The 20,467-nt window shown below is 54.8% G+C and overlaps 1 protein-coding gene across 25 annotated transcripts in view, besides 1 other annotated feature; it reads right to left on the bottom strand.

Moving 5' to 3' along the window:
• The window catches only part of LRRC27 (leucine rich repeat containing 27), a 51,446-nt gene that overhangs the window by 8,402 nt on the left and 22,577 nt on the right, over positions 1-20,467 (bottom strand). For 6 of the 25 annotated variants that reach the window (XM_011540208.2, XM_047425785.1, NM_001143757.2 and 3 more), the window contains 3 exons: positions 17,221-17,317; positions 11,532-11,650; positions 7,557-7,683 (listed from right to left, as the gene is read on the bottom strand). In XM_011540208.2, coding sequence (XP_011538510.1) covers positions 7,557-7,683; positions 11,532-11,650; positions 17,221-17,317 — 343 coding nt within the window. Of the gene's footprint in view, positions 1-6,105; positions 6,701-7,556; positions 7,684-11,531; positions 11,651-17,220; positions 17,318-19,710; positions 20,226-20,467 lie in introns of those variants that run through there. The other 19 variants (XM_047425791.1, XM_047425792.1, XM_047425790.1 and 16 more) reach the window with 9 other exon arrangements.
• Positions 19,462-20,424: an enhancer, noted in NCBI's record as "H3K27ac-H3K4me1 hESC enhancer chr10:134166187-134167149 (GRCh37/hg19 assembly coordinates)". NCBI's record gives its function as "activates a minimal SCP1, AML or CMV promoter by ChIP-STARR-seq in naive H9 embryonic stem cells {active_cell/tissue: H9 hESC(naive)}" and the evidence as "EXISTENCE:reporter gene assay evidence [ECO:0000049][PMID:30033119]".

Below are 20,467 nucleotides of genomic sequence, written 5' to 3'. Positions count from 1 at the left end.
AGCTTGCTGGGTTTCATGGCAGCAGACTTGTCTATTCCTACGGGGGGATTTTAATTCTGGCTTGTCATTTTTAAGTGTCCCCTAATGTTCGCATCCATTCGAAGCTCGCTCCCCAGCCGGCTGGCTTTGGCCTCTCCCTCACCTTGGGGCTTCCCTCAACAGCTGAGGAACCTCTCGTGACTGAGGCCCTGGAACGAGGCTGAGATCGGGGTGTCGGTGGTGGGCTGCTGGCTGCTCAGTGCAGGCTGGGGCTGTCTAGGGTACGCCCAGGTGGCTTCTGTCTTGGTTGGCTGATATCTCAGACAGCGCCATGGAGCTGGCCAGCCCTCCTGGTCGGTTGTGCACCTGACCTTCTGCAGGTCTCTTTAGGCCAAACATGGCTGCTGTCACCACTGTGGTGCCTGGTTGGTCAGCTTATCTAGAGGCAGCCCTGGCTCCTGCTGGGTAGGCTGGAGGAGTCAGTGGGCTGGGCAGAGTAGGGAAGCAGACCCAGGGCCCTGGCGTGACCTGTATAGACTCCGCTTCCTTTTTGTTTTTTGAAATGGAGTTTCGCTCTTGTTGCCCAGGCTGGAGTGCGATGGTGCCATCTCAGCTCACTGCAACCTCTGCCTCCTGGGTTCAAGCGATTCTCCGGCCTTTGTCTCCTGCGTAGCTGGGATTACAGGTGCACACCACTGTGCCCGGCTAATTTTTTGTATTTTTAGTAGAGACGGGGTTTCACCAGGTTGGCCAGGTTGGTCTCAAACTCCTGACCTCAGGTGATTCACCTGCCTTGGCCTCCCAAAGTGCTGGGATTGCAGGCGTGAGTCACCGCACCCCGACCCCCACTTCCCATCCTTCTGTGGTTGGTTTTGTCTTCCTGTGCTTTTCAGCTGGGATTGCAGGCGTGAGCCACCGCACCCCGACCCCCACTTCCCATCCTTCTGTGGTTGGTTTTGTCTTCCTGTGCTTTTCAACTGGGATTGCAGGCGTGAGCCACCGCACCCCGACCCCCACTTCCCATCCTTCTTTGGTTGGTTTTGTCTTCCTGTGCTTTTCAGGCTCTGGGGCTGCATCACTGTGCATCTTTGCTGGCATTTTGCTGGGCAGGCCCTTCATGCTGCACCACTAGGGGGCTTCCTTCGTGCAAAATCGTGCTGGCCTCCATATGTGCGAGGACAAGGGCTCACCTGCCAGCCCCCAGACGACAGCAGCTGAGACCAGGTGGAGCAGTGTGTCTGAGAGGACAGCACCCCCACCAGAGACAGACTCCTGCACACTGGCTCTGCAGCCCTGGCCCACGGCCTCCACCTGAGGGCTGAGGTGGCTGCCCCTGCTCCGGCCATCATGTTTGCATTCCAGCCAGGAAGGGAGGGGACAAAGCTCAGGAAGTTCACATTCATCTTCTGCTCACATCCTGCCGGCCGGAACAGAGCCACAGGCCAATGTCTGGCTGCAAGGGAGGTTGAGAAACGTGGCCATTTGTGGGGCAGCCTGTGCCCAGCTGAGACGTGGGGCTCTATTATTACAGGAAAGACCCTGGGGAGGGGGAGCCTCCTGACAAGCAGGCAGCCTCCTCTCCATTTCCTCATCCTGAGGAGTGAAGGTCGTTTTTGCTCCCTTTCCTGTCATTCTGGTGGCTTCTGGGCAGAGTAGAGATAAGCCTATGTGCAGAATGGGCCGCGTTGACCTGGAAGGGCCACGTCTGTTGGCTGGTTTGCTTTCAGCATCTCCTTTTCATACCTCTGGGCTTTCTTCTCTCTCTGCCCTGACCCGTCCACCCTGGTCCTCTAATCACATGCAAGCTCCTGGCTCATGGGCTGGACTCCAGTCCCTCCTACTTCCCCCATTTGGCATCCCCTTCTCCCACAGGCCAGGCTCCCGGGTGCATGGGGGGGTGCTCCCGACGCACGCCATGCCACCGAGGACTCCTTGCCAGCGCCACGCCATGCGCGGCACTGCGCAGATGCCTTGAAGGAAACACGAGGGGCCGGGGAAGAAGCCGGGAGAATGAGACCCTCTGCTTCTAGAGGTGCAGTGTGAACTTAGATGGTTCTCTGCCTGGGACATGCCAACTGTCTCACGCACATGCGTGCCCGCCTCCATACGGCAGGCTGGTGGGCCACACAGCCACGGAGCCAGGACTCGTCTCTAACGCTGCTGCGGGGTTTGCTCAGGACCTGCTCTAAGGAAAGACACACTCTTCTGGCAAAGCCCGAGACTTCACCTGCAGGGAGGGCTGGCATGATCGTCTCACCAGGATTATACAAATAGGTTCCCTACTGAGTCTAAAGAACACAGTACTTTCTTTTTTGCTAGTGGGCCTGTGTAGGCAGCAGAAAAAGGGAGGGTCATTTGAAATGGACTGAGCCTACAGGAGGTCCAGGTACTCAGAAGGCAAATTTCAGAAAAAAGCATAATTAAGATCGTTTCCTAAACATGCGGCCATCAGGCGGCACGGAGCCTGCCATGCTGTTCTGGTCTGTCTCAGGGACCCCTCTCCCCTGGCCCACCCGCCCGGCGCTCTGTGAGAGGCAGCGGGACAGAGGAGAAGGATGGCTGGAGCTTGTGGACAGCCAACACCACCTGTCTCAACACAATTCACCTCCTCTAGGGCAGGATCAGCTGCTTCCCAGCTCATTCTTGGGAGTTTTAAAACCCCTTCCTCTGGCTCTCCCAAGCCAGGACTGAAGTGAAGGGACCCACCTCATGGGCATCCTCTGGGCTCAAGGGCTGCAGGGAGCCTGTCATGGGAAGTTAGCGGGTGTTTATGTCCCTGTCTCCTGGGCAGGGTGACATAGCACATCCCTCCCTGGATCTTGGCAGTAACTTGGAGTTGGGCACACGACAGGAGCCGGTGCTGGTGACGTGAACCCTTCATCAGGAACTTCACATGAATTTTTTTTAATCACAGAGAAACACGAGACAGGCATTAAAGCACAAGGCGAATTCTGTGGCAATTCATGTCCCCAAGAAGACAGTGCAGTATTTGGACCTTGGCTTTGCATTCAGACCTACCCAGGTTGGACTGAAAGCTCCACCATTTACAGTGTCACCGTAGGGCCAGTTGTGGCACCTCCGTGAGTCTGGGTTTTCTGACCTGTGAAATGGGTGGCACCGCCTTCCTCCTAGGTGGCACGAAAGTCAATGGAGAGACAGGTGTGGCTGGGGCAGGCATTTGAGACCAACCGCCACAGTGTCCTTCTGGGTCATTCTCTTTTGTCTCATGGCCCCACTGCTCTGCATGTAACCAGGGCGGGGGAGCACGGGAGAACAGTGGGGGACACAAGAGCCAGCTCTCAGGTTTCAGATTTCCAAGCAGACTTTAAAAAACCCGGACTTGATTTTTCTAGAGCAGCCTTCATCCCACACTGGAGTGGTCCACTCGATGCGTGCACATGGACACACTGTTACCACCACTCAGAGTCCACAGTCGACATGCAGGCTCATGTGTGGGGTGGCACAGTCTGTGGGGTTTAGACAAACGCATCATCACATGGATCCAACAATACAGCATCATGAAGAGTAGTTTTACTGCCCTAAAACCCTTTTGTGTTCTGCTGATTCACCCCTCAATATCCTACTACCCCCACCCGGGCCACCATGATCCTTTCACCATCTCCATCTGTGTACGGCCTTTTCATGCTGGCATGTCGGCTCCCCCGTGTCTTCTCATTGCTGACGGCTCATTTCCTTTCAGTGCTAAGCAACGTTCCACTATCTGGATGTTCCAGTTTATCCAGTCACCTGCTGAAGGACACCTTGGGTGCTTCCAAGTTTTGGCAATTATGAAAAAAGCTGCTATGTCTGTGTGCAGGTTTTGGTGTAGACATAAGTTTTCATCTCCTTTGGGTAAACACCAAGGAGTGTGATTACTGGATTGTATGATGAGAGTGTGATTAATTTTGTAAGAAACTGTCAAGCTGTCTTCCCAAGTGGCTGTACCATTTTCTATTCCCAACAATTAATGAGTGTTCCTGTTGCTCCACGTCCTCACCAGCATTTGGTGGTGAGTGTTTTGGATTTTTTGATGGTGAATCTCCTTAACTTGCATTTCTGATGACACACAATGTGAAGCTTCTTTTCACATGCTGATCTGCCATCCATGCATCTTCTTTGATGAGGTGTCTCTGCAGATTCTTGGCCCATTTTTTAACTGGCTTGTTTGCTCCTTTTTGTTGAGTTTTTCAGAGTTCTCGGTATATTTTAGATAACATTCCTTTATCGGGTGTATCTTTTCCAAATATTGTCTCCCAGTCTGTGGCCTGTCTTATCCTTTTGGCAGTGTCTTACATAGAACAGAAGTTTTTGATTGTAATGAAGCCCGGCTTATCAATTATTTCTGTCATGGATCTTGCTTTTGGTGTTGTATTTAAACATCATCACCATACCCAAGGTCACTTAGGTTTTCTCCTATGTTATCTTGTAAAAGTTGTACGGTAACACGTTACGTTTAGGTCTATGATCCATTTTGAATTAATTTTTGTGGAGGGTGTGAGGTCTATGTCTAGATTCTTTTTTGTTTTTGGCAGTTGTTCCAGTACCATCTGTTGAAGACTACGCTTTCTCCACTGAGTTGCTTTTGCTCCTCTGTCATATCAGTTAACTCAGTTAACTATATTTGTGTGGGTCTATTTTGGGGCTCTCTATTCTATTTGTCTATTCTTTTGACAATATCACACTGTTATTGTAGCTTTAGAGTCTTCAAGTTGGGGGGTGTCAGTCCTCTGACTTTGTTTTTCCATCAATACTGTGTTGGATATTCTAGGTCTCATCCTCTCCATATATGCTTTAGAAACAGTTTGTCAATATTCACAAAATAATTTGCTGAGATTATGATTGGGAATGCATTAAATCTAAAGTTGGGAAGAACTGACTACCAACAATATTGAGTCTTCCTATCCATGAACATGGAATATCTGTCCATTTATTCAGTTATTTCATTAAAGTTTTGTCGTTTTCCTCATATAGATTTTGTATACATTTTGTTAGATTTTTACTTAGTACCATTGTTTTGGTGCTAATTTAAATGTTATGGTTTTAATCTTAAATTCCACTAGTTAATTGCTGGTACACAGGAAGGTGACTGACTTATGTATATTAACCTTGTATCCTGTAACCTTTTCTATAATCACTTATTAGTTTCAGGAAATTTTTGTCAATTCTTTGGGATTTCCTACATAATCATGTCATCTGAGAATAAAGACAATTTTATTTCTTGTTTCCCAATCTATATACCTTTTGTTTCCTTCTCTTGTCTTCTTGAACTAGCTAAGAGTTCCAGCATGAGGCTGAAAAGCAGCAGTGAGAGGGAATATCTTTGCCTTGCTCCTGATCTTAGTGGAAAAGCTTCTAGTTTCTTGCCATTAAGAATAATGTTAGCTGTAAGTCTTTTCTGGATGTTCTTTAACAAGTTGAGGAAGTTCTCAGCTTATCCTAGTTTGCTGAGAGTTTTTATCATGATAGGTGTTATATTTTGTCAGATGCTTTTTCTGCATCTATTGATAAAACCAACTGATTTTTCTTGTTTAGCTTACTGATGTGATGAATTGCATTGGCTGATTTTTGAACGTTGAATTAGGGTGTGTGATTGCTTTTACACATTGCTGGATTTGATTTCTGAATGTTGAGAATTTTTGCGTCTACATTCATGAGCGATATTGGTCTACACTTTTCCTTTCTTGTAATATCTTTGTATGGTTTTGGTATTAGAGTAATGCTGGCCTCAGAGAATGAGCTAAAAAGTTTTCTCTCTGTTTCTGTCTTCTGGAAGAGATTATCGAGAATTGGTATAGTTTCTTCCTTAAACCTTAAATGTTTGGTAGAATTCACCAGTGAACACTTCTGGGCCTGTGATTTCTGTTTTGGAAGGTAATTAATTATTGATTGAATTCCTGTAATAGATACAAGCATATTCATTTCTTCTGTAAGTTTTGGCAGATGTTGTCTTTCAAGGGATTAATCTATTTCACTAAATTTATCAAATCTGTGGCTAGAGTTGTTCATAATACCAAATCGACTTTTGTGTCCCTAATGTGAAGTGATGGGTTAAGACACAGATGTTTTGCAGCCCTAAGAGGCAGGGTTTGGGTGTCCAAGGACAAGGTCATACTCATAAACGATGGATTTAGAAAGAATAAGAGTTTATCTAAAGGCAGATACAAACTCCTTGGGCTGAGGAGGAAAAGAGTCTCAGAAGTGGGGTCCGAGTCAGGTTGGGTGGGGTCTCCATGAAGTGGCTCCACATCCTGCCCTCATGCCTCCTCTCTCCCATCTCCGGCTCTAGGAGAGAGGGAAACAGCGGAAATGGTGGGAATGGAGCCTGCAGATGGGGTGTGGGGACAGGAAGGCCAGGGTTGCTTCCTCCCCCGTGACAGTGCTGCGTGCTCTGGGGGCAGCCCCGATGCAGCTCGCACCAGCCTGACCTGTGTTCGGGCATGGTACACTGACCTGGAAGAGGCCACCAGCCAGGGGCCTTGGGTAGCTTGAGAGGACAGGCCAGAATCCTTATGGCTGCAGGAAGGGTGGGGACACGGGTATCCAGGTTCACTGCCAGGGACAGCAGCTGTGTCCTTCTACAGCTGGATGGGCTGGCCAGGCAGCAGTTCGGGCAGCAAAGCACTTTCCTTCATTCCTGCGTCTCTCCCACAGCCCAGGATACTCCAAGTACCAGGAGGTGGGCATCAGCGTATGCTGAGTGAATAAACAGCACTGGCGGTGGCTGAGAGGATGGTTAACATTCCAAATATATAGGAGCCACTTCCGTGAGCAGTTCTGCTTAGGAGGCTCCTGGTCAGGAGGCCTTGGATCCCCATGAATATCGGCCTCCCTACATAGACACCGAGCGTGTCAGCCATGGTCCGGTGGCCTCAGCCAGACCCCTCTCTGCAGTGACGCCCCTCATGGCCCAGCCCTGGGCCCACAGCCTGGATCAGCTGGGTGCAAAACCTCAAGCAAGGACCCCACAGACATGTGGAGAGGACTGGTTCCCAGTCCCTGTCAGCAGGCTGCCACTCCTGCCATCAGATTCCCAGTGCTGAGATGCCAAGGCCCGCCATGTGGCCTGGCACATTTGAGGGCTCAGCCCCTCGGCTGAAATGTTTTCCTTCTCATGTGACCAACTGTAATTCTGGGAATTTCTACACCTCATAAGACACATTCCACACAGTCCCACGGTTTTAGAGAGCGCATGCTCTGAAGAGGCACAGTGAGTTCTCTTTATTTTTAATAAAACAATGTTTTAGGCTGTGCACAGTGGCCCAGCAATTTGGGAGGCCAAGGCAGGTGGATCACTTGAGGCCAGGAGTTCGAGACAAGGCTGGCCAACATGGCAAAACCCTATCTCTATTAAAAATACAAAAATTAGCCGGGCATGGTGGTGTACACTTGTCCCAGCTACTCGGGAGGCTGAGGCAGGAGAATCGCTTGAACCTGGGAGGTGGAGGCTGCAGGGAGCCGAGATTGTGCCACCGCACTCCAGCCTGGGTGACAGAACAAGACTCTGTCTCAAAAAAACAAAAACAAAACAAAACAAAAAACACCCCACACTTTTTTAAACAGAACCAAGAAATCCTTACAATTTCCAGATCCTCGGCAGCCTTCCTCATCTCCTCCAGTGGGGCCTGGCCATGGAATCTTCTTTGCTCACGCATTTGGAGGACGTGCTGTTTTATCTTCTCTTCTAAATTTCTCTCCTGCAGGGCACTGAGAAACAAAGGGCAAAGAGGGAAATGACTTGACACATTTACTCTCATCCTAGCAACTCCCGCCATAACCAGGGAGAAAGCATGTGCCTTTCTTCCCAGACCAAACAGCGGTCCTGAGGCTCCCGCACAGCTGTGCCAGTTACTGTGGCGCTGCCCTGGGCCTCCCCGGCACCCACTCTCCTCCAGACTCACGCCGGGGGGCCTGGGCTGCCTCTCCCATCCCTTCTTCAGTAGTTCAGAAGCTGCCAGAACACACACTATTCTTATTTAAAAACCTCAAATTGATTTAAGATATGACACATTTAGGACACTGCACACTGCACCACATGAAGGGAAAAGCAGGTTTCTGTTCCCACATGGAATACACGGTTTTCCTAAATCCTTAAACAGACAAACAGAAAAGTGTATTCAATTATGATTTTAAACATATTTTCTGTTAGCACTGGGGCTCAGGGGTTTGGGGTTCCTTTAATTTTAAAGACAATGACTCAGGGTGGTAGAAAGAGCTGGGGATCTGCTGCAGGTGAGCTGTGGGGTGGCGGGGTCCACTCCAGTCTGCGTGAGTGTGGGGCCCCAGGGTGTGGGCGTGGAGGTAGATGTAAGGGTGGGTGTAAGTGTGGGTGGGTGTGAGTGTGGGCGTGGAGGTAGATGTAAGCATGAGTGTAAGTGTGGGCGTGGAGGTAGATGTAAGTGTGGACGCGGACTGCATGAGTGTGGGGCCCCACGGTGTGGACGTGGGTGTAAGCGTGGGTGTGCAGGTAGATGTAAGTGTGGGTGGGTGTTAAGTGTGGGCGTGGAGGTAGATGTAAGCGTGGACGCGGACTGCCTGAGTGTGGGGCCCCAGGGTGTGGACGTGGGTGTAAGTGTGGGTGTGGAGGTAGATTTAAGTGTGGGTGTAAGTGCGAGTGTGGAGGTAGATGTAAGGGTGGGTGTAAGTGTGGGTGGGTGTAAGTGTGGGTGGGTGTGAGTGTGGGTGTGGAGGTAGATGTAAGCGTGGGTGTAAGCGCGGGTGTGGAGGTAGATGTAAGGGTGGGTGTAAGTGTGGGTGGGTGTAAGCGCGGGTGTGGAGGTAGATTAAGTGTGGGTGTGGTCATGGGTGTGGTGTGGGTGTTGGTGCGGGCGTGGGTGCATGCGCCACTGTGAATACAATGGCACACAGTCTCACTCAGCCTCTCCGAAGACCCTCTTACTCCCAGCAGCAGGGTTTGTGCCGGTTTTGCTTGCTTTTCAGAGTAACTATGGAAAAGAAAGCATGATGTCCTCTGGAGTTCTACAGAACAGAGCCCTCAGGTCAGGGCATGCCCTGTGTCAGCGCCTCAGACTCCAGCTTTTACTGTGCCCAGGGTGATGGGGGGTTAGCGGGCCACTGTGGTCTGCTGTGGGCTTTTTAAAGGCCAAATATGGCAGGTAAACTCCCTGGAGGATGTAAGAGAACATTCAAATGTTTGAGACGAAATGGTTTTAGTCTAAGCCATTTTCACGAGGTTGGGGAGTTAATACAACCTAGTTGGCCTTCGAGATTTTCCCTAAACACTGTCAGCCTCCAGGAGGAACAAATTCTGCAGGAACAGAACATGCCCTTTGTCACCCACATCTCATCCCACCTCACCCTTCCTCCAGGTTTCTTACATCGCAGCCGGGATCCAGGGTACGTTAAACTGAGTGGGGAGCCCCCTGGCAGACGTACGCTGAGCAGCAGGGCCGGGGCCAGGCCCTGGGCCTTCCAAGCTCAGGCCCCACGGTCTCTTCTGCTCTGGCCTCTGAGTGCAGTGAGGCGCTTTCAGTGAGAGCCACAGCGAGCCTGGTGCAGGCCAGGAAAGCACGGGGGCACCGGAGAGCAGTGCTCATGCCCTGGGGTCTCCAGTGGTCTCCCTGAGGCCAGCCTTGGCTTCCCAGGACGCCTGGGAGGTGCGAGGGAGGGGCCCAGCTGAAGAGTCGGCATGGGAAATGCCTGGACAAGAAGGTGTGTCCACACTGAGGCTCCGTGTCAGCCTGGTCCTTATACACGGCTCAGAGGAGGTGGAGGCGACTAGGGAGCCCAGTGATCATCCCCAGGGTGCAGCCACTAACCCAGCTATAGAAGCTGTGAACGCAGAAAATCAAAGGAATGCTGCTGCGAGGTGAGAGGGGTGAACCCCGGACCCCCGAGCAGCTGTGAGGTGAGAGGGTTCATGAACCCCTGACCCCCGAGCTGCTGTGAGGTAAGAGGGGTGAACCCCGGACCCCCGAGCAGCTGTGAGGTGAGAGGGTTCATGAACCCTGGCCCCCCGAGCTGGTGTGAGGTGAGAAGGGTGAGCCCTGGACCCCCGAGCTGGTGTGAGGTGAGAAGGGTGAGCCCTGGACCACCGAGCTGGTGTGAGGTGAGAAGGGTGAACCCCATACTCCTGAGCTGCTGTGAGGTGAGAAGGGTGAACCCCAGACCCCCGAGCTGCTGTGAGGTGAGAAGGGTGAGCCCTGGACCCCCGAGCTGGTGTGAGGTGAGAAGGGTGAACCCCATACTCCTGAGCTGCTGCGAGGTGAGAGGGGTGAACCCCGGACCCCCGAGCAGCTGTGAGGTGAGAGGGTTCATGAACCCGACCCCCGAGCTGCTGTGAGGTAAGAGGGGTGAACCCCGGACCCCCAAGCAGCTGTGAGGTGAGAGGGTTCATGAACCCTGGCCCCCCGAGCTGGTGTGAGGTGAGAAGGGTGAGCCCTGGACCCCCGAGCTGCTGTGAGGTGAGAGGGTTCATGAACCCTGGCCCCCCGAGCTGGTGTGAGGTGAGAAGGGTGAGCCCTGGACCCCCGAGCTGCTGTGAGGTGAGAAGGGTGAACCCCCGGGAACCCTGAACAGCTGCTGTCACTCTCCAGTGAAGCCCCTCCCCTCCCCTCAAGGCCCAGCCAGGGACCCACCCAGGGACCAGCCTCCAGCTTCCGTCCTTGCCTTGCGCCCCGACTCTGCTCTGTCCACCAGGCACTGTGGAGCGTGTCCTGCCCCGTGAACTCGCCGGGCCACCCAGTGCTCCTCAGCCCCATTTGCTCCATCCATCCCTACTCCCCAGTGCCAAGTGCATGCCTCTGAGCCCCTACCCTTCCCCTCACGTTGGTCCCAGGTTAGCACCAGGCTTCCCAAATATCCCTCCCTGCTCTCCTGAACTCCAGGATCCTCTGTGGCTCACCAGCTATCCCTGATGGGCCTGTGGCTGCCTGCCTTTCCCGGGGATGACAACCTGCCCAGCAGCCTGGCCGCCCCCTGGCCAGGGACTCAAAATCAAAACGTCTCAAGTGCTTCCTGACACAGCTTCTCGGTTCTGGCTGTTTCCTCCACCCCATGGTGGCTACTTTGCCTGAGTCCCCTTCACCTGGGTCAACGCCTGGCCTCGCTGCCTCACCCAACACCCCATGAGGGGAAGGGCTGAGCGGCCCTGAGGGTCAGGTCTAAGGAAGCTGGGGTGGGAAGAAATGGGATCAGAACTCAGCATGAGAAGACCTGGGGAGGCAGCGGCGGTGAGGTGGGGAGGGCACGGCAGGGCAGGGCAGGGACTGCAGCGGGTGGATCTCGGATCGCGTCTCCCCTTGGCGCCCACAGCAGCACCCACTACAGAGGGCTCGGGAGCACTCTGTATCCTGGTGACCTACAGGAGCCATGGCTGGGTGACAGCAGTTCCCTGAGGGCAAGGACCCCATCTTCCAGGGTTACCTGGCTCTCCCTGGAGCCCACCACAGCCTGGAGCCCGCCACAGCCTGGGGCCCGCCACAGCCTGGAGTTTCAGGGCTCCTCAGTGCATGCTCATGAAATAAACAACAGCACCTGCCCGTGGGTGGCTGGCTGAGCCCTGGAAGGACTGAGTGCCAGTTGCAGTTACCAACCTCATTTCTTTACTTGCTTGTGGCGATTTCTCTTTGCTTGGTTTCATTTTTCCAGGCGGATTCAGTGGTACTTTCCTGTTATCTATCAGATCTGTGGCAGAGGGAATCTTTGATGCCACCTAGGAAAATGCAACAAGATGATTTCTGGAATCCCAGTAGATGATGTTTTTCCACAAAGCTAACCTGCAAGGTGTGTTAGACTAGCTCCTCGTCCACGAAGAGGTGGGTCCGAGGCCGCCCCGGGTAGACGGTCCCTGTGCAACGCAGTCATCCCCCCAGGTCTTGGCTAGCTCTCGCGCCCTACTGGGATCTGTTTGGACATCTTTCTGGGGCCTCCCTGACAGCCCAGGCTGGGGTAGGAGGTAAAGATGCAGAGTGAGGGGACCCTGGGGTAGCTCGGAAGGCTGCCCTGCATGCCCTTATGCCCCCCACGCCAGGTTTGCTGCAGTGGCTGGCTTCCTACAGGCGTCCTTAGATGGCCCCTCTCCACAGGGGCCCCAGATCTGTTTCTCCAGCTTCAGTGCCAGAACCAGGGAGACCTGGGAGGACCCAACACTCGCTGTGATGTGCAACCTAGGCAGGAGGAGGCTAGCACCCCAACGGCGGCGTGACCAGTGCTGCTCGCTGCTGCCTCCAGTGGACACATGTGAGAGCCACGCTGACCCCTCCGGACCTCAGGGAGCTTTGGGCCTGTGCGGGTGCCTGCAGTGTGTTCCCGGGGACTGTCAGAAACCAACGGATGACAAAAACAGGTAGGAGGGAACCCTGGCAACAGAGTGGGAGAGAAGAACTTCCAACCAGGGGCTACTGCAATGTGGAGACTCGTAGGGTCCATTTAGCATTTACTGAGATGACGTTTGGAATGGTTGTATCTGCCATTCTCTCCTCCAAATGTATTTCCAGGCCGGGGCCTTTGTCTAGCCCTTAGTTTAATCCTAGTACATGCCTGACACTTAGAAAGTGTTCGGCAACCAGAAAGGGCGGAAAGATGGGAGGCAGGGAGGACCAGGGACCACCCACCAACCTTTTCCTATCCCTCCCACCCCACCATAAAGCAAGGCACAGGCTGCAGACACAGCAGAGGAAACTCTTGGCTGACTGAGAGCTGGGACACTTTCAGGTGATCAGGATTCTCCCAAAGGTTCTTCCAACAGAAAGAAAAGAACAAATGCTAAATCCTGGCCGGGCGCAGTGGCTCACACCTGTAATCCCAGCACTTTGGGAGGCCGGGGCGGGTGGACTGCTTGAGGTCAGGAGTTCAAAACCAGCCTGGCCAACATGGCGAAACCTGTCTCTACTAAAAACACAAAAAATTAGCCAGGTGTGGTGGCGCATGCCTGTAGTTCTAGCTACTCAGGAGGCTGAGGCAGGAAAATCGCTTGAACCTGGGAGGCAGAGGTTGCAGTGAGCCAAGATTGTGCCACTGCACTTCAGCCTGTCTCGTAAATAAATAAATAAATAAATGCTAAATCCAGTGGGTGTTTTTTTCTTTTAAAATCAGACACTTAATTTTATTTTAAAAGACATTAAAAGTATGTATTTGGAGGGAAGCCCACCCATCCACATTTTACTCCCACTCTAAAATATAGAGAAGGAAGACTTTTTCGAACATCCAGCTCTTGAGTGAGCAAGCAAAGAACCAAATATAAACACGAACACACCGGCGAAGTCTACAACAGGCTGCCGCTTTGGTGGCGTGGAATGGGCTTTGCGCCAGGGTTTGTACGTCAAGTGTCAAACATGCCACTGACGTGAAGCCCAAAATATGGGCTCAAGTCATGGCTGGTTTCAGAGTGACATGAAGAGAAGTGCAGTGCATTTTACAAAGCAGGTGACAGACCCAGGCTTCACCCAGCCACAGGCTTTAGCTCTGCAGCCCTTTCAGCAGCCGCAGCCTCAAGGCTCCCACCCCATCGAATGTACTTGGGGTGTGACCACACAGTGACGGATCAGCAGAAGCACATGCAGGGCTGGGGGCACACTCCAGGACCAGGCTGCAAAGCCAGCGGCCATGATTCCCCAGGCCCGCCCAGCCCAGCCCAGCCCGTGGGTGCCACTGTCCAGTGGGATCCACCCAGCAGTGGCCACCCAAGGCCGTGGCGCCCTCTCGTGTCCTCCTGCCCAGCTGCAGGGAGCTGGGAGCTTGCCCTCCCCGGGCCAATGCGTGGAACCGCTTCCCTGTTATGGACATGGAAACTGGAGTTGTATTTATTTATGCTTGTCTCTCCAACAATACTGAAATACACAGATACACTTCTGTGTAACTAAATGCCTATATGATTGCTTTTATTTCTATAAAATGGACTCCTAAATGTGTTCAAAGGACACGCTCTTAACTTGGAAGGATGCCTTCCGAGCAGCTGGTGGCAGCAGCCTCCATGCTCTATCCCACGCTCCACCACCTCAGCACCTCCCCACGCTGCTCCACCACCTCGGCTCCTTCCCACGCTCCACCACCTCGGCTCCTCCCCACACTGCTCCATCACCTCGGCTCCTCCCCACGCTGCTCCACCACCTCGGCTCCTCCCCACACTGCTCCATCACCTCGGCTCCTCCCCACGCTGCTCCACCACCTCGGCTCCTTCCCACGCTCCACCACCTCGGCTCCTCCCCACACTCCACCACCTTGGCTCCTCCCCACACTGCTCTACCACCTCGGCTCCTCCCCACACTGCTCCACCACCTCGGCTCCTCCCCACACTGCTCCACCACCTCGGCTCCTCCCTACGCTGCTCCACCAGCTCGGCTCCTTCCCACGCTCCACCACCTCGGCTCCTCCCCACACTCCACCACCTCGGCTCCTCCCCACACTGCTCCATCACCTCGGCTCCTCCCCACGCTGCTCCACCACCTTGGCTCCTCCCCACACTGCTCTACCACCTCGGCTCCTCCCCACACTGCTCCACCACCTCGGCTCCTCCCCACACTGCTCCACCACCTCGGCTCCTCCCCACGCTCCACCACCTCGGCTCCTCCCTACGCTGCTCCACCACCTCGGCTCCTCCCCACACTGCTCCACCACCTCGGCTCCTCCCCACACTGCTCCACCACCTCGGCTCCTCCCCACGCTGCTCCACCACCTCGGCTCCTCCCCACGCTGCTCCATCACCTCGGCTCCTCCCCACGCTGCTCCATCACCTCGGCTCCTCCCCACGCTGCTCCACCACCTCGGCTCCTCCCCACGCTGCTCCATCACCTCGGCTCCTCCCCACGCTGCTCCACCACCTCGGCTCCTCCCCACGCTGCTCCATCACCTCGGCTCCTCCCCACGCTCCACCACCTCGGCTCCTTCCTGCCGACCACACAGGCGCCTCACGTCCACCCTACGTGTCCCTCACAGGCTGAGCATCTTTTCATGTATTTACGGTGGCTTGGATTTCCTCTTCTGTGGACTGCCTGCCATACTTTTTGCCCATTTCTTCTACTGGATTCTCAGATTTTTAAAATCAATTAGTAGCCATTCTTTGTATATTAGATATGAACATTTAGGCACAAAGATTTTCCCTTGGACTCTGACTACAGCACTCTGGGCCATACAAAGTATCTCACCAGTGCCTGGGCCAGCGCAGGCCCAGAGGGTGGCACAGGGAAGCAGCAGGCCTCTCCATGCGTTCAGCTGCCTCACCCAGGGCCTGTGGGGTGCGCAGAACAGCAGCCAGCTACCACGGAGCCCTGCCTGCTGCCACAGCCGAGGGTCTGCCTCTGCACTAGGTGCGCGCTCCCGTGGGCAGGGCCTGTGCCTGGTCCCCTCCCTGCTCAGAGCAGGCCATCAATACTCGCTGACTGAACTGCTCTATCTCATGATAGATGAGTTTCTAGAAAACCTATGTTTTTCTTTTTTAAGAAACTGCGTACACTCTCACTGTGATGGTCTCACAGGACTCAGAAGCACAACTGTGGCAGCATCGACCCCTCCTCTGCGCCCCCCTCCCCAGAGCCACAGCCCTCCCCGCAAAGTCACTGGGTTGCTGTACGTTCTTCCAGACCAATGAGAGTTTTTGTGCACTGTCCTACAACTTGTGCTGCTTTAACTTACAGTGATTTCTTCAAGACACTTGCAAGCCAGTGGATATGATCACTGACTCACCCTTCTGTCGGCCACAGAGGCAGCTCATGGTCTGGATGTGACAATTTAGCCATCTCCATCTGTTGACATTTAAAGTTTCCCATATTTTTGCTATAATTCAGCTCTGAAAGCATTCTTAGCAATGTCCAATTGTGCAAGTATTTTTATTCCTGGAAGTGGCAAAATATGTATTTTTAAACTTTCCCACATATTGGGGAAATTAGGAAAAAGGTGACAGCAAAGATGGCGACTGAGTGTCCTGTGGGGCCTGGGACCTGAGAAGGGTGAGATGCAGTCCTGGTTTATCCAACGCATTGGACACTGTGAATTCCTAACTCTGAGCCTTGTTTTGAGGTTATGTAAGATGTCACCATCAGGGAAGCTGGGCCGGGGGGAGACGGAAACACTATTTTTGCAACTTTCCTGTAAGTCAAAAACTAGTTCAATACAAAGTTAGACAAAGGAAACACTCCTGAACTGTCCAAGCAGTCCACGCCTGCAGGCCCACGTGGCCACGCTCTCTGCTGTAGGGTGAAGCCCTTGGGGGCCTTACCCCAGCTAAGGGGGCTGCAGAGGCAATCCGTGGCCTTTCAAAGTAACACACAGGGAGCATCTCTTAGAAGAAAGCACCAAAGAAACATCTATGACCAAATTCAACAGCACATTTGCCTGACTATGCTCACAGGACAGAGAAGCAAGCCAGGCGCATTCTGGAGGGAGGAGCCACCGGCTCCCACCACCCTGTGCCCACGGCCCATGCCCGCAGCTCTGTGCCCACTGCCCTGTGCCCGGCTGGACTAAGACCCTCATACAGTCTGGGGAAAATGGGAAGAGAGGACTGTACTCAAGATGTCCCGTGTCCCATAGCTTAAGAGCTGGCAATCTTGGGGGACGGTACTCAGGATATCCCATGTCCCATAGCTTAAGAGCTGGCAATCTTGGGGGACGGTACTCAGGATATCCCATGTCCCATAGCTTAAGAGCTGGCAATCTTGGGGGACGGTACTCAGGATATCCCATGTCCCATAGCTTAAGAGCTGGCAATCTTGGGGGACGGTACTCAGGATATCCCATGTCCCATAGCTTAAGAGCTGGCAATCTTGGGGGATGGTACTCAGGATATCCCATGTCCCATAGCTTAAGAGCTGGCAATCTTGGCTTCCAGGGAAACTGCCTGCCTCGAGGTCCAGAGACCAAGGGTGAGGAGCCCAGAAAGACCTCTGTAGCGCTCACCTCGACCTCAGCTGCTTTTTATCTTTTGAATCTTTTCCCCTCATCTCCTCTTCCGCCTTCCCTCTTTGAGCTTCTAATTCCCCAGACAGGAGCCAAAAGTCAGTGAGCCAAGAGGCAAGCCCTCAAGGCTGGGGTGGGAAGCTGTCCCCTCCGGCTGGGCAGTGAGCAATGGTTCTGGATGCTGCACTCCAACCCAGCCCCACCAGCCAGCAGCCTGCACAGGCAGCTTCCTCCCCAAGTCTCAGCTCATCCTCCATGGACAGGGATGCGTGTGAGCACCCACCCACACCCCCAGGTCTCGGCTCATCCTCCATGGACAGGGATGCCTGTGAGCACCCACCCACCCCCGGGACTGGACTAGTGCCCGGTCACCGCCCGCGCGTGCCGTACCATGCTCCTCCGCGGAGGCAGGAGTTTGCTGAGCTCTTCCTTCCTCTTCCTCATCCTCTGGGCTCGCTCTCTCCACTCCTGCAGTGCCCTTTTCTCTCTGGAGAAAGGGAAGGTTAATGTCATAAGTTACAGGCAGCTTCGAGCCAAGGCTACAGGATTCCTCTGTCATTCTACAGCCTTGCGGTGCACCTGTCTCCAGGGGGCACAGGCTGGGGGCGTGCATGCCCTCCGGGTGGGAGTCTGAACCACAGCCTCTTCCTCCCGGCACATCTGGGCAGAGCCGGGAATGCCGGGTTCTATCCCGAGGCTCTGTGTGTCGGTGCTGCCAGCAGTGACTGATGCTGGGGGCCAACCCGACCCAGTGACCGAGGAAAAGGCATCAGGACCCCTTTCAGGTAAGGGCACCAGCTGGGGCTGCCACCACAGGCGCTGCACGACGGGTTGGGGGTGCCTGGCTGCGGGCACTTGTCGACATAAGGTCTATGGAAGATCTGAATGCCTGTCTCTAAGTCCCTCCCTTCAGACACTTGAATTTCACTTTTAAAAACAGGCATCTGGCCAAGGCGGGCGGATCACGAGGTCAGGAGATCGAGACCATCCTGGCTAACGCAGTGAAACCCCATCTCTACTAAAAATACAAAAAATTAGCCGGGTGTAGTGGTGGGCGCCTCTAGTTCCAGCTACTCGGGAGGCTGAGGCAGGAGAATTGCTTGAACCCAGGAGGCAGAGGTTGCAGTGAGCCAAGATTGAGCCACTGCACTCCAGCCTGGGTGACGGAGCAAGACTGTCTCAAAAAACAAAACAAAACAAGACAAGAACAGGCGTCTTCGGGCCTCCGCAGTCTGCAGCCAGAGTCACATGCTCCCTCCTCACAGCTCGCCGCCCAGGGCTGCGAACGTCCCGAGTAACGCCCACATCTGCGGCTGGGCGGGGCTCCTCGCGTGTGGCTGGGGTGGAATGAGGTCCCCAAGAGCCCTTGCTCAGGCCCAGGGCTCCACCCCCGGAAGGCCAGCTCTCCAGCCTGCAGGACTCCTGTGGTTGGTACCCCCTCTCCATCCTGCCCCCAGATCCGGCCTCCTCTTGTTTCTCCCATCATCATCCTGGACGCCTGGGCCCCAGGCCGGGTTTTCCTCGACGCCTCCACCCGACCTCTGCTCTCCTTCCTTGCGGTCACAGCGGCTCAGCCCTCCTGGGCTCTACCCGGCCCACGGCCCACCTCTGACCACCTTCCTGCTGAGGGCTCCATCCCGAGTCAGTGCTGCCTGGGATCAGAGCCTGGCTGCGTCCTCTCCCAGTGCCACCTCAGGGCACAGGTGGTCTCAGCAGCTGCCTCAGGTGAGGCTGTGTCCTGACGCCTGCCTGGGTGTGTCCCAGCCCCCAGCCCCCAGCCCCAGCCAGGGTGGTGCCCCCCGTGTCCCCACTTAGCACCATGTGTGGTGCTGGCCCCGCTGCGCTCCTGGACGAGGGCCTCCACTTAGTGTCACTGTCTTCTGGTCACACCTTGGGAAGCAAAGGGGTGACGCTGTCCACAGGGTGATGTGAAGGGGGCTGTGCCGGGTCTGGGCCCTCAGAATAGGCCTGCCGAGCTGCTCACTAGGAGACTGCAGGACACTGGCTCTGGGCTCCAGGCAGGAAAATAAAGAAGAAAGAGTTCACTTGCTCTTTGTATCCAAGAACTTCTCTTCCATGAAGGTGTGGGACGAGGCCCGAGCCTGTTGTCTGGGGGTAAGAGTGCCCTTTCTGCCCCCTGCAGCTGGTGGTGCCCAGAGAGCCTGGGGCAGGGGCTGTGCCTGCGGAAGGTCTCATCACAATCACCTCCATCACAGCCATGGCCAAGAGGGAGTGGGACTCCCACAGGCAGCCTCCTGGCAGGGCAGGTGATACCTGAGGAGTCAAGGGGGCAGGTGTCTGGACACCCACTTCAGAAAACGGTACCTTGAAACTGGCAGAGCCGAGGCAGGAGTGGGACCCACCTGCAGCAGGGAAGGGAAGGGAGATGCCTGCTGAGGCACACAGTGAGGGGAGGGCAGCTGGCATGCTTGACAGGCGGGGCCGGTCCTGGGGGGCTCACCTCGCAGTGAGTGACGGGCCCGGCTCTGTAGAGCTACCCCGAGGGACAGTGTGGGGCGACTGATGGGCACCAAAGGAAAGCCTTCCCGGTGCTCCCTGGGCCCCAGCAGCTGTGGCCCGTGGCCAGCAAGACCTGGTCCCACAGCGATGGGCTTTCTGGTGCAGCCCGGACCACACTCCCATGTCCTAGGACAGCCCTAGAGCGGTCAGTCAGCCTCATCCTTGCCCGTCAGTATGACAGCCTGGGACAGGGGACCAGTTCTGAGGACTTCACCTCATTCATCTTTTTAATGAAAAAGACAACCAACTACAATGTCTCTCTGGACATTGGGTGACAGCTGTGGACAATCACAGAATCTGTGTGCTGGACACAGCCCCTATCACATGGTCCCGAGAGAAAACAGCACACACACAACGGGGTGGCTTCAGGAGGGTTTATTCATGTTGGGGAGGGAGCAGGTGAGCCACAGGGGCGGTGCAAGAGCCCTGTGCCAGTCAGGGCCGGGCTGCAGCCGCCCACAGGACAGACCAGGGAAGGAGAGATTGTCGGAACCCAGAAGGAGGGAGAGGCTGGACTCGGCCAGCTCCAGGCAGCTCACAAAGAAGCCGGGAAAGTAAAGACGAGGCCCTCGCTCTCCCTTCCTCCTCGACCTCCTGCTGGGGGCCCCCGCTGGCCAAAGCCAACCACCAAGTGAGGGGCACGGGGGTGCTGTGGCTGTGGTCCATGCCAGCCGGACTCCTGGGGCCCAGGGAGGGGTGAAGCCAGGTGGTCAGTGGAGCTGGAGGACAGAGAAGACACTGAGGACACCGAGTCCATCGGCCAACACACCTCGCAAGGTGGTGGCACTGGCGGCAGTCACAGCAACACAAGAATGAACCTCCCTGATGACCGTGTCAGGGCCTGGAATACTCTAGGGAAAATGAGGAGGAAAGGACTGAGGAAGAACAAGAAATGAGGGAAAAGAACAAGAAAGCAGGCAGGTGTCGTGAGGAAGCCAGGGCAAAGACGGACACAAGGGGGCGACCGCGAGCACTGCAACCGGCCTGTCCCACAGGGAGGCCTCGGGGCTGCAAACAAGGGAGCCCATGCACGCAACGCCCTGCAGACCACGAGCGCTGCACCTGCCCCACATGGAGGCCTCAGCGCCTGCCCCACACGGAGGCCTCAGCGCCTGCC

Source organism: Homo sapiens, chromosome 10 (genome assembly GCF_000001405.40).
Source record: "Homo sapiens chromosome 10, GRCh38.p14 Primary Assembly".
NCBI classification, from domain to species: Eukaryota; Metazoa; Chordata; class Mammalia; order Primates; family Hominidae; genus Homo; species Homo sapiens.
This window is presented reverse-complemented; position numbering and strand designations above follow the sequence as displayed.